Source organism: Homo sapiens, chromosome 16 (assembly GCF_000001405.40).
Source record: "Homo sapiens chromosome 16, GRCh38.p14 Primary Assembly".
NCBI lineage: Eukaryota > Metazoa > Chordata > Mammalia > Primates > Hominidae > Homo > Homo sapiens.
In genome coordinates this window covers 88,101,294-88,114,295 of record NC_000016.10, presented here as the reverse complement: position 1 = coordinate 88,114,295, position 13,002 = coordinate 88,101,294, and the positions used below count along the sequence as shown (strand labels likewise).

The following is a 13,002-nucleotide window of genomic DNA, read 5'->3' as shown; positions in this document are numbered from 1 at the left end:
GTGAGTGAATGTGGTCCCTGTCATTCTCCCCGGAGACACCCGCAGTGAGTGAGTGTGGTCCCTGTCATTCTCCCCGGAGACCCCCGCAGTGAGTGAGTATGGTCCCTGTCATTCTCCCCCGAGACCCCCGCAGTCAGGGAGTGTGGCCCTTACCGTTCTCCCCATTCACAGGTGGGCAAACTTGGGCACAGAGAGGTGGAGGGACTTGCAAAGGCCATGAAGCTGGGGGTGGGGGACAGGACTGGCTGTGGGGTGGGGGAGACCCTTCCTTAGCCACCCATGGTGCTCGCCGGACATCATGGGACCACAGGACCTCCCATCGCACGGCCCACAGCCCTGCCCAGTGCGGCCCTGGCAGGAGCCAGGTGTCCAGTCCCACAGCACTCTCAGTGCGGCAAGAACTTTCCTCACACCTGGGAGCTTCTCCACGCACTAGACCACACGGTGAGCTTTCCAAAGCAAGAGGCTGCATGTGTATCTGATCTCCCTGCAGCCTGCACCGGGGGGTGTCAAACCAGCCGTGTCGGTGAAATTAAGAAGAAGGGACGCACGCCTCACAGCTGGGGCCCTGCACCGCCTGTCCCAGAGGGGCCACTTGTTACCCGTTTAAGACAGGCCAGACCTGACCTACGATAGGCCCTTCAGCTGCGAGAGCCTTTGTGCCTTCACCACAGTCTGCGGAGGTAACTGAGACCCAAAAAGCATGGCCTTCCCCAGGGCTGGAGGTAAACTGTTCCTCCCCGAGCCGGGCTTCAGCCACAGGTCCTCACGTCCTGCGTCCACAGGGCTGGATCCCTGCTCAGCAGGCTCTCCTGTCACCAGGTGTCAAAGCGCCAGAAGCCATGGCAACTCACCAGCTGGAAGAGCCGCCCATTACCCACGCACCTACAGTGAACTCAATTTCAACAAAGGTGGCAAGAACATACCCTGGGGAAAGGACAGTCTCTTCCATAAACGGTGCTGGGAAAACTGGCTACACATCTGCAGAAGAGTGAAACGAGACCCCTAGCTCTCGCCACATACAAACATCAAGCCAAAATGGATTAAAGTCTGGAATCCAAGACCTCCAATGATGAAACTACTACAAGAAAACACTGGGGACAATCTCCAGGACATTGACCTGGGCAAACATTTCTCAAGCAATGCCCCCACGCACAGGCAACCAAGGCAAACACAGGCAAATGGGGCCACCTCGAGCTAAAAAGCTTCTGCACAGCAGGCCAGGCGCGGTGGCTCACACCTGTAATCCCAGCACTTTGGGAGGCCAAGGCGGGTGGATCACGAGGTCAGGAGATCGAGACCATCCTGGCTAACACGGTGAAACCCCGTCTCTACTAAAAATGCAAAAAAATTAGCCAGGCGTGGTGGCGGGCACCTGTAGTCCCAGCTACTGGGGAGGCCGAGGCAGGAGAATAGCGCAAACCCGGGAGGCAGAGCTTGCAGTGAGCTGAGATCGTGCCACTGCACTCCAGCCTGGGCAACAGAGCAAGACTCCATCTCAAAAAAAAAAAAAAAAAAAAAAAGCTTCTGCACAGCAGAGAGAGCAATCCAGAGTGAAGAGACACCCCACAGAATGGGAGGAAATATTTTCAGACTACTCATCTGACAAGGGATTCATAACCAGAACATATAATGAGCTCAAACAACTCTATAGGAAAGAATCTAATCATCTGAGTAAAAATGGGCAAAAGATCTGAATAGACGTTTCTCAAAGGAGACACACAAATGGCCAACAGGCATCTGAAGAGGAGCTCAGCATCATTGATCGTCAGAGAAATGCAACTCAAAGCTACCATGAGACATCACCTCACCCCGGTTAAAATGGCCTTTATCCAAAAAACAGACAATCACAAATGCTCGCAAGGATGTGGGAAAAGGGAACCCTCGTACCCCGTTGGTGGGAATGTAAATTAATACAGCCGCTGTGGAGAACAGTTTGGCGGTTCCTCAAAAAGCTACAAATTGAGCTACCATAGGATCCAGCAATACCACTGCTTGGTATAGACCCAAAAGAAAGGAATCCATCTATCAAAGAGATGTCTGCAGTCCTGTGTTTACTGGAACTCCTGACCTCAAGGGATCCACCCACCTCAGCCTCCCGAAGTGCTGGGATTCAGGCGTTAGCCAACGCGCCTGGCCGGCACGCCTGTGTTTACTGCAGCACTGTTCACAGTATCAAGATTTGGAAGCAACCTAAGTGCCTATCAATAGACAAACAGATAAAGAAAATGTGACACGTACACAACGTAGTACTATTCAGCCACAAAAAAGAACGAGATCCTGTCATTGGAACAACGCGGATGGAACTGGAGGTCATTAAGTGAAATAATCAAGGGATGGAAAGAAAAACAACACGTTTTTGGCCGGGCGCGGTGGCTCACACCTGTAATCCCAGCACTTTGGGAGGCCAAGGCAGGCGGATCACAAGGTCAGTAGATCGAGACCAGCCTGGCCAACATGGTGAAACCCCATCTCTACTAAAAATACAGAAATTAGCTGGGTGTGATGGTGGGCACCTGTAGTCTCAGCTACACAGGAGGCTGAAGCAGGAGGATCGCTTGAACCCGGGAGTCGGAGGTTGCAGTGAGCTGAGATGGCACCACTGCACTCCAGCCTGGTGACAGAGCGAGACTCCATCTCAACAAACAAACAAACAAAACAAACAAAAACACGTCTTCACTTATTCGTGGGAGCTAAAAATCAAAACGATTGAACTCATGGATATAGAGAGTGGAAGGAGGGTTACCACAGGCTGGGAAGGGAAGTGGGGGGGATGTTAATGGGTACAAAAAGACAGAAGAAATGCATAAGACCTATTATTTGATAGTACAACAGGGTGAGCACAGTCAACAATAATTTGTTGTACATCTTAAAATAACTAAAATAAAATCACTGGCTTGTTTGTAACAGAAAGGATAAATGCTTGAGGGGATGGAGACCCCATTCTCTCTGATGTGATTGTTACACCTTGCATGCTTGTGTCAAAACATCTCATGTACCCCATGAATATATACATCTACGACGTACCCACAAAAAAAAGTCTTTAGAAAAACAGCCCATTGCAGACTGGCCACTGCGGGGAGTGGTTTTAGTTCAAAAGGCCTTCCTCACGCTGGCCTCTTCGGCAGTGGCGTCACAGCCCCATCGCTGCAGGAAATGGTTTGACATGGGGCGGTGCGGGAGGGGCCCTGACAGTGGGGTTTGGGAAGTCGCACCGGCCCAGGTGCCTGGGGGCTGAAGAAAAGCAAGGGGCCTTCGACACTGACTGCAAGCGCCACGAGTGCCCGTCTGGGCCGCAGCGTCTTCATCTGTGAAGGGGGCCTGAGCTTCCCTGCCACGGACACTGTGCCATTGCTGGCCCGGGTCTGCAGTTTCTCAGGTTTCCCAGTGCCTGTCCCGAGGCCCCACAGAGCCCGGCTGCAGACGCATTTCTCCAGCGAGGCTACACCCGGCTGAGCTGCACCTGCTGCCCTGGGCCCCTCGTGGAAATCCATTTGTTAGAGCCCACAAGCACCTGCCCAACCCGCACAGCACTCCCTGGGTTGGAGGCCATTTTTCTCCCCTCCCCACCTTCGATGGAAAAGGCATTTTTTGTCTAGAGAAGACACTTTAAGACGAGTGGTTCTGAATGACCACGTTATGATTCTCACCCGCAGGACAGCAGCCCACGCTGGGAGGACATCTCTCCGATACAGTTCACACTGAGGCAGAGACGGGCCTGAAGTCAGGAGGCTGCACCAGGGCTGGGGAAGCTGCTCACGCCATGTGGGTGTGGAGGAGCAGGAGGGGAGCCTTGGACATTACTCACAGACACTGTAAGCAAACTGAATTGGAACAACCAGGCACTCAGCGACACCTGGGAGAGCCAGCCCCTGCCAGAGAAGACGGACGGAGACCGTGGTAGGCTGGGCAGCAGCCAGTTCAGTCCGGCGTGAGCGGGAGCAGAATTCTCCAAGCGGACTGGCAGCGGACCACCTGCAACTTGTCAGCAATGTGGAGCCTCAGGGCCCGCCCCAGCCTCCTGAATCAGAAGCCCAGGAGGCGGCCCCCCGGGGGTCTGAACTCACCCTCCAGGGGGTTCTGACGGGTACTGGGGTGGGGCGGCCTCGGCCTGGGTGATTTGGGGAGGGGCAGCTGGACGTGTGTGTGACTCTGAAGAAGTGTTAATGATTTCATGTCTTTGTCTTCCTCATAGTATTTGCATTCTATATGTGAGGAGTGAGGGAAAAAGGAGTCACCAATGGTGAGGCCCAGGCATTCTGGTGCTAGTTTCTGGGAGGCTGTTTGCAGGAAGAGTTTTCTCGAATCTCCCACACAGATGGCCACCTAGCCTGACTCCTCCTGTGCCACCCACTCACATTTACTCAACTAACATTTGGTAAGAGTCCATCATGTGCCCAGGGGCCAAAGGTGAGCAAGCTGGCAAAGCCCCTGATCCCAGGGAGGAGACAGCGTGGACACAGACGCTCAGCACCTCCTGATCCCGGAGAAGAGACAGCGTGGACACAGACGCACAGCACCTCCTGATCCCGGAGAGGAGACAGCGTGGACACAGACGCTCAGCACCTCCTGATCCCGGAGAGGAGACAGCGTGGACACAGACGCTCAGCACCTCCTGATCCCGGAGAGGAGACAGCGTGGACACAGACGCTCAGCACCTCCTGATCCTGGAGAGGAGACAGCGTGGACACAGATGCTCAGCACCTCCTGATCCTGGAGAGGAGACAGCGTGGACACAGATGCTCAGCACCTCCTGATCCCAGGGAGGAGACAGCGTGGACACAGACGCTCAGCACCTCCTGATCCTGGAGAGGAGACAGCGTGGACACAGATGCCCAGCTTTGCCTGATCCACGTGACATCGGAGGCTGCCGGGGAGAAGCCTCATGCCTGGGTCCCAGGAAACAGATCTGAGTCTGGGAGGAGGTGCAGAGGCTCCTTGGAGCAACACCTGCAGGGGTGTGGAAAGTGGGCCTGGACAGGGGGAGCCACTGGGCTGCAATGTGGTTGCAGCAGAGGCCTCAGCTGTCTCACTGTTGAGGTCTCACTGTTGGGGCCTCACCCACAAAGAAGAGAGACCCTCTGTGGGTGTCCTGAATGGAAACATGAGGACCAGTCTTTCCATGCAGCTGCTCCCAGGAGAAGGCATTACGTGGGGTGACACGGCAGCCATTTCCAGAGGGACCCAGCTATGAGCCGTCGACAACCCTGGCAGCTGGCGCATTTGTTCTCTGCTTTTGCGTAACAAGTCACCTCTGAACTTGGTGGCTAAAAAGCACAACAGTCATTGATTATCTTGGTTTCTCTGGGTCATGAATGTGGCGTGACTTGGCTGGGCAGCTGTGGCACAGGCTCACTCATGAGGCTGCCGTCGAGATGTCTTTGCTGGAGTCATCTGAAGTCCCGACCGGGGCTGGTGGCCCGAGGCCTCAGCACTCCCCTGTTGAGCCTCCCCACAGAGCTGCTGGCACATGGCACTGGACTCCCCTGGAGCAGGAGGTCTTGGGGAGTGAGGGCAAGAAGCTATTGGTGCCCATGATGACCTAGCCTCAGCAAACACATGCGTGGCCCCCCATACAGTGGGCAAGGCCCTGAAAGAGGGTGAGGCCAGGAAAGGAGGCCAACACCCTACAGCGTCACCACCACCTGCTTTCAGGGAAGTCACACTGAAGTGGGGACCCTTGAGCCGAGAGTTCTCTGGGGAAACAGAGGTGGGGAGAAGATCCTAGGACATCAGCAACTCAACCCCCAAAGATCCTCACCCCCAGAAGTCCCCTTCACCAGGTTTGTGCAACTTGACAGCCTGATTCTTCAGGGTGGAAAGAGCAATTGAATTCTGGGCAGCAACCCCAGAGCCCTGTCTTCTGCCTGCACCCAGGAGACGTCGGGTGTGACCACTGAATCTCAGTCCAGAATCGAGATGGGCTGCACCAGCAGCCAGACCCAGACACGCTGTCCCACAGGGATGGCCAGGGCCACAGTGTGACGGTGCAGGGCTCACTGGAAGGCGTCCTCTGTGCACCTCCATCCCCACATCCCCACAGACATGGACCCCCCTCCCCGCATCCCCACAGACGTGCACCTCTGTCCTGGGATCCCCAGAGATGTGCACCTCCATCCCCACATCCCCACAGACGTGGACCCCCATCCCCACATCCCCACAGACGTGCACCTCCATCCCCACATCCCCACAGACGTGCAAATGTCCTTATTTCTTCAAAGAGAAGGGCACAAAAATCCTCAAGAAAGTCTTCTCTTCTCTACCCTGCATCCACCTCCAAATGACATACAGATCGCATGGAGGAGTTGACTCTGGGGTCAGCGAGACCTGTGTGCAGGGCATGGGAGGGCACCTCAGCCCTCAGCCATTACCAGGCGCCTGGGCTGCCATGACATCACAAACCAAGGGCCTTAAAATGTGGTGTGGAGGCCGGAGCCCAACATGGGCCCTGTGGGGACAAAGCCAAGGGCTACAGTGCTGTGCTCTCCTGAGGGTCCTTCCTGCTTCTGCAGCGTCTGCAAGCCAGGCGTGCCCTGACTTGTGGCTGCTTCCCTGTAATCTCTGCCTCCGCGTCTATGTCCCAGGGCCATTGCCTCTGTGTGGGCCGAATCTTCCTCTGCCTCTTCCTTAAAAGGACCCTGCCATTATGTTGGGCCCAGCTGGATCATCTGGGAAGACCTTGCCTCGTGACCCTCAGCCACAGGCAGTGCTGTGCACGGCAGTGGCATGGTCAGTTTCTGTGTCTCCACGCAGATCTCACCTCGAATTTAATCCCCATGATCCTCACGTGTGGAGGGAGAGCCCAGGGGGCGGTGACTGAATCACGGGGCAGTTCCTCCATGCTGTTCTCATGATAGTGAGTGAGTTCTTGTGAGAGCTGATGGTTTTATAAGAGGCTCTTCCCACCTTTGCTCTGCATTTCTCCTTCCTGCTGCCTTGTGAAGAAGGTTCTTGCTTCTTCTTCGCCTTCCGCCATGATTGTCAGTTTCCTGAGGCCTCCCCAGCCATGCTGAACTGTGAGTCAATTAAACCTCTTTCCTTTATAAATTACCCGGTCTTGGGCAGTTCTTTATAGCAGTGTGAAAATGGGCTAATCCAGGCATCAAGCACAGGTTTTGGGGATCAGGGCATTTGGGGAGCCTTTTCCAGCTGGCCAGAGTCAGCCTGTCTGAAGCCTGGGACAGTCACGGCACCTCCCGTGCGGGCCTGAGAGAGCCGAGGCACGCAGACCCCCGCCCGCCTGCCAGCACGCCCCAAAGGCAGAACTCGTGACCCTCGCTGCTGTTACTTGGATATTACAATGGCTCTTCACCCCATGAGGCTGAGCTGGCCATGGTGAGGGCCCAGTTTCTGGGATCTAGAGGGGTCTGTTTCTACCGAAAATCACCCTGGAGAGGCTGGCGTTGCTGCCACCCCTCCTGAAGGCAGACAGTGGGATTCCCGCCTGGGGGCGATGGCTTCAGCTCAATTCACCTCCTGGCCTGTGCGGCAATGGCAGGCGGTGGCTGAGCTGAGCTCCGTCCCATGGCATCCCAGGCTGGTGGCCAGCAGGCATCCACGCCCACCCCAGCCTGCACCTGAATGCCCATCGCTGGGACCAAGAGCAGCCATGGCCCACCCAACCTGCCTTGGCTCACGTGGTGCAAAATGAACAAGGGAGTGTCTGCCAAGACCACAGACAGTGGGGGCTGCTCCGGGTGCAGCATTGCAGAAAAGCCGCTGGTTGGCCTAGACACGTGGGCACAGGCAGCCTACTCCTTTCTCTGTTCACATTTGCCCTCTGAATCGGTTTTTAAAGTGAAAAAACATTTCAAAAGAAAATTAGGCAGGAGGTTGCAAAAATAAATAAGGTGACACCAAAAGAAAGCTCTAGAACACAAGAGTAGACAGGGTTCTCCTCTGCTAGACAGCCAATCTCATCTGTGGGAGATTATCGTACTGCCTCTCGGATGGAGAAAAATTCCTTCAGGAATCCCTGTGCTGAGCCCCATAGGTGAATCACGAGCAGGGAGAGGTGGGCGCAGGAGCGGCATGGAGGAAGAGGAGGGGCCGTCACAGTTCTGCAGTGCGCTGACTCCAGGGTGTGGGGGCGCGGGTGGAGGCTGGAGCACGGCCTGCTGGCGCCCGCCACACTGTCTCCCTCTGCAGGGACCCGGCTACCCAAGAAGGACACACACTGTGCTGGGCCAGATGTTGCAGGTGTGGCAGGGCAATGGGGTCTGGTTTTTAAATCCTCTGCTACTCAGAGGTGGCTGACCCAGGAGGCAGCTCCTCACAGACTCCCTGAAAGCAGCTTACTGGGCCCGTGCCAAGACCCAGTTGGCCTGCAGCTTGCAACCATGATGGAGCCTCCTGGGCCAGGCCAGCCAGGCCCTGCTGTCCACACACAAGGTGGTGTGAGTGCTTGCTTCCTGGGTGTGGCCACCCTGACTTCTGGAATCCAGGGACTTTTCCCACCCAACCAAATCTGCACCAGATGCCACCACGTAGCACACGTGCCGTTATCCCCCTACCCAGTCATGGCAGACATCATCAATCAACTACCGAGCTCCCACCAGGGCTTCTGAGTCTTTACAACTTAGCACTCAGGCTTTCAGCTCTTCATCCGTTCCCAATTATGCTTATTTGCTAATCCTGCCTGGGGTTGCTGGGTTCACTGTGTCCCCCTGGGCCCTTTGAAAATGCTGTATGTAGTCAAGCATGGTGGCTCACGCCATAATCCCAGCACTTTGGGAGGCCGAGGCAGGTGGATTGCCTGAGGTCAGGAGTTCAAGACCAGCCTGGCCAACACAGTGAAACTCCATCTCTACTAAAAATACGAAAATTAGCTGGGCGTGGTCACAGGTGCCTATAGTCCCAGCTACCTGGGAGACTGAGACAGGAGAATCCCTTGAACCTGGGAGGCAGAGGTTGCAGTGAGCCAAGATTGCACCATTACACTCCAGCCTGGGCAACAAGAGCGAAACTCTGTCTCAAAAAAAAAAAAAAAAAAGAAAGAAAGAAAAAAGAAAATGCTGTATGTGTTATAGAGGCCTTTATAGTGTTGAGGATCAAAACTCCTCTTTCCTTTTTTGTGACAGGGTCTCACTGTGTTGCCCCAGCTGGAGTGCAGTGGCACCATCCTAGCTCTCACTGCAGCCTTGACCTTCCCAGCTCAACTGTTCCTCCCGCCTCAGCTTCCTAACTGGTTGGGACTATACACACGCACCACCACCCCTGGCTAATTTTTTAAAATTGTTTCTTGTAGAGATAGGGTCTCACTGTATTGCCCAGGCTGGTCTCAAACTCCTGGACTCAAGTGATCCTCCTGCCTCAGCCTCTCAAAGTGCTGGGATTACAGACATGAGCCACTGCTGCACCTGGCCAAAATTCCCCTTAATACCCAAGAAGTGTCCTCTCCAGGAAAAAAATAACCAGAGGTCCACACACTGATAGTGAAACGCAGGCCTGAAGGAAGTCTAGCTGGAGGCCTCCAGGTGTAGGAGAAAGGGAGGGGTGGGGAGCACATTTTATCAGGCTGTGGGGACAGGCAGAAAACGGGATCACAGAAGGATAGGAGCGTCCACACTGGCTGGAGCCAATGAAGCTGAAGTTTCTAACCTTTCTTTAGGAATCTTTGTAGGCTCAGACAAGAACATCTGGGGTGGTGCAGGCTGCATGGACAGGCCCCCGGAATGTGACGCTGAGCGAGGGAGACACTCCCAAAGGGCCACGCGTTGCGTGACCCACGCATGGGACAGGACCAGAGCTGACGACTCCAGGACTGAAGCAGAGTGTGGCTGGCGGGGTCAGCGAGAGGCTGGGGACTTAACGTCCGGGGTAATGAAAGGGGCCGGCAAGAGGCTGGGGGGCTTCAGTCCAGGGTAATGCAAGGGGCCGGCGAGAGGCTGGGGGCTTCTGTCTGTGGTAATGAAAATTTCCAAGTTGATAGTGGTTGTGGGTGCACATCTCTCTGCAGTCTAAACGGAATTGCACTTTGATGGGTGAACTCTATGGTATGTGAAGCGTATCTCAATAAATCCCTTGTCTTTTTTTTTTTTTTTTTTTAAGATACCGTCTGGGAGGCAGATGACGTCCCCATCGGACAGTCCTGGTGCAGGCAAGGCCCGGAAGCTTCCCTGCCAGGTGGTCCTGGCCAGTGTCTTAACCTCTCTGATGTCCCAATTTTTCAGCCATGAAAAGAGTTGAACACTGTTTGCCTTGCGGGGCTGTGTGGGCTTTGGCAAGGAGTAAAAAGCACCCTACGAACCACCTGGGGCACAGCAGACGCAGGCAACCCCCGTTCCTCAAACAGCAGCCCTGGCGACTGTCACACGCACTGCAGCTAAGAGTGACGAATGCAGTGACCGTCCTCGTGCCACGGAGGATTATTCCACTGCCCCCTCGTGCCACGGAGGATTATTCCACTGCCCCCTCGTGCCATGGAGGATCATTCCACCCCCTCCGTGCCACGGAGGATTATTCCACCGCTCCCTTTTGCCATGGAGGATTATCCCACCAACCCCCCATGCCACGGAGGATTATTCCACCCACCCCCGTGCCACGGAGGATTATTCCACCGCTCCCTCGTGCCATGGAGGATTATTCCAGCGCTTCCTCGTGCCACGGAGGATTATTCTACCGCCCCCACCCAGCCTCGGCATCCCAGGGCTCCCGTGGGGTGAGAAGATGATCTGATTCATGCAGGAGAAATGAAACTAGGAACCCCTACTCTCCTGATCCCCCCCAAGGGATTAGGGAGGGGGAGATTCGGGGGGGACAAGGAGGGCAGGCCCCCAAACTCAGGCAGTGACAGCCCCACCCAGGAGCCCCAGCACCGGGTCTTCACGCCGGTCCCGAGGGCGGGTGGCTGGAAGCATTTCTGAGTTTCTGAGCTGGGTCTCTGGCAAGGGGCACTGGGCAGCCCCAGCAGGTGGAGAGCTCAGACCAGCTTGGTGTGAAGGATAGAGAGCAAAGCGTCCAGTGCCCAGCCTTTGAGATCTCATGGCCCGTGGACTGCTGTGGGGACAAACAGGACCAGAGCCGAAGGGCGGCCAGGAAGCTCTGCGTCCCTAAGAGCCACCACACTGGGCGAGAGGCCATGCCAGTGTTTTTAACCAAAAAGCCACCGACACCATCTGTCCTGTTCCTGCTCTACCCAGGGGAGGGGGGAGGGGCCAGAAGGGGCGTCCGCCAGAAACCGGCCACTGCAGTGGACACATGAGAACAGCTTTAGCGACTGATGACGGCCCCATTCTTGGTGTTAAAGAATCGCATTACCATCAGGCACCACGTAAAACACGAGAACAAAACTATCCACGTCTAAAGAGTTGGAGGAGAGCGATTCCTGTCCTTGAAGAGTCTTTGAACACCCTCATCTTGGGACACCCTTTCCAGAGGAACCAAAGCCATGAGCACATGCATTCTGCCACGTGTCACCACAGAGGCTGCACAGACACGAGGCCAAGGGGCCAGGTCCCGGCGGATGGAGGCGGGGAGGCGGCGATCAGGGGCCCTGCGGTGGACGCCTTGGTAGCAAGTGACCCACCACCCCCACCTACCCCAGGGAGGGTTTCTCCTCTTTCACAGCCCAATCCAAGTACGGCGTCTGCAAAGAAACACTCCTTGAAGTCTGGGAGGACGATGAGGGCTGTCGGTACCTTGTGATTTAGCCCCTGGACCGCTGTGAGGACGGATGGGACCAGAGCCGAAGGGTGGCCAGGAAGCTCTGCATCCCTAAGCCATCACACTGGGCAAGAAGCCCTGCCCATGTTCTTTTGTTTGTTTGTTTTTGTTTGTTTTGTTTTGTTTTTTGAGACGAAGTCTCACTCTTGTCCCCCAGGCTGGAGTGCAATGGTGCAATCTCGGCTCACTGCAACCTCCACCTCCCAGGTTCAGCCTCCTGAGTAGCTGGGATTACAGGTGCCTGCCACCACACCCAGCTAAATTTTGTATTTTTTTAGTAGAGATGGGGTTTCACCATGTTGGCCAGGCTGCTCTACGAACTTCTGACCTCAGGTGATCCACCCGCCTTGGCCTCCCAAAGTGCTGGGATTACAGGCGTGAGCCACCAAGCCTGGCCTGGCATGGCCCTGCCTGTTTTTATCCAAAAAGCCACCGACGCCCTCTGTCCCGTTCCTGCTCAGGACACTGGAAGGTGTGATAAATCACCAGCACATGGGAATTCTGCACCAATATCTTAGATCACGCCAGATTTCTGCACAAAGCGTAAGGACACTGGGCGGGGGGCGGGGGTGGGGGGGTGAATGTCACTTCTGAGGCCGGCCTGTCGCTAAGCTCAGCCACTTTTCTTCCCTGTTCCGTCGCTTAAGTCCCCTCCTGGAGTTTACAATCCTGACCTGCCACCCTCACCAGGATCCTGACGGAGCCAAGACGCACCCGCGGCCGACCTCCCAGCGTGACGGCTTTCTGGTTATGTCTACACGTCATGGAGGAACCTTCTAAAGGAGTTTCAGGAAGTTTATGTTTGGAAGCTGCGATTGTCACTTTCATTCATGGCCCAGCTTTATAATGGGAAACAGACACCTCACCGAAGTGCCAGGAAGGGGTCTGCTCTGAAACGTGTTCAAATGAAAGGATTGAGGAGAGCCTAGTTCTTATAAATATCGTAAAGGCACTTTGTTATTGACGGTGCCTGCCTCAGATTCGCTGTGGACTTGCAAGCCCCAAACTCGTCCTGCCCCTGGGTGGCCGGGGCACCCAGCCCTTCTGCCTCCACACTTTGTTTTTCTTTTCTCAAAAAAAAAAAAAAGCGTAATGAGATGCACGTTTAACAACATGTTTAGCTAATTGAGTCTGTCCACAGCATATCCCAACCCGGGCGCTGAGAGATAAGCCGGTCACCTGGAGCGTGCCACAAAAAGGAGAGAAGACAAAGCCAGCAGCTAATAGAAATCATTAATTGGGGAGGACGCCCCTAACCACATCAGATCAAAGATGCAGGCGGACTCTTCCCACCAAACGAATTCGCCTTTGAGCTCTTGGCATTGGGTTCAGCACTCC

At 55.2% G+C, this 13,002-nt stretch overlaps 1 protein-coding gene across 1 annotated transcript in view, besides 2 other annotated features; it reads right to left on the bottom strand.

The window, feature by feature from the left end:
• The window catches only part of ZNF469 (zinc finger protein 469), a 339,823-nt gene that overhangs the window by 326,458 nt on the left and 363 nt on the right, over positions 1 to 13,002 (bottom strand). The window lies entirely within an intron of this gene.
• Positions 48 to 547: an enhancer, noted in NCBI's record as "H3K4me1 hESC enhancer chr16:88147355-88147854 (GRCh37/hg19 assembly coordinates)". NCBI's record gives its function as "activates a minimal SCP1, AML or CMV promoter by ChIP-STARR-seq in naive H9 embryonic stem cells {active_cell/tissue: H9 hESC(naive)}" and the evidence as "EXISTENCE:reporter gene assay evidence [ECO:0000049][PMID:30033119]".
• Positions 548 to 1,049: an enhancer, noted in NCBI's record as "H3K4me1 hESC enhancer chr16:88146853-88147354 (GRCh37/hg19 assembly coordinates)". NCBI's record gives its function as "activates a minimal SCP1, AML or CMV promoter by ChIP-STARR-seq in naive H9 embryonic stem cells {active_cell/tissue: H9 hESC(naive)}" and the evidence as "EXISTENCE:reporter gene assay evidence [ECO:0000049][PMID:30033119]".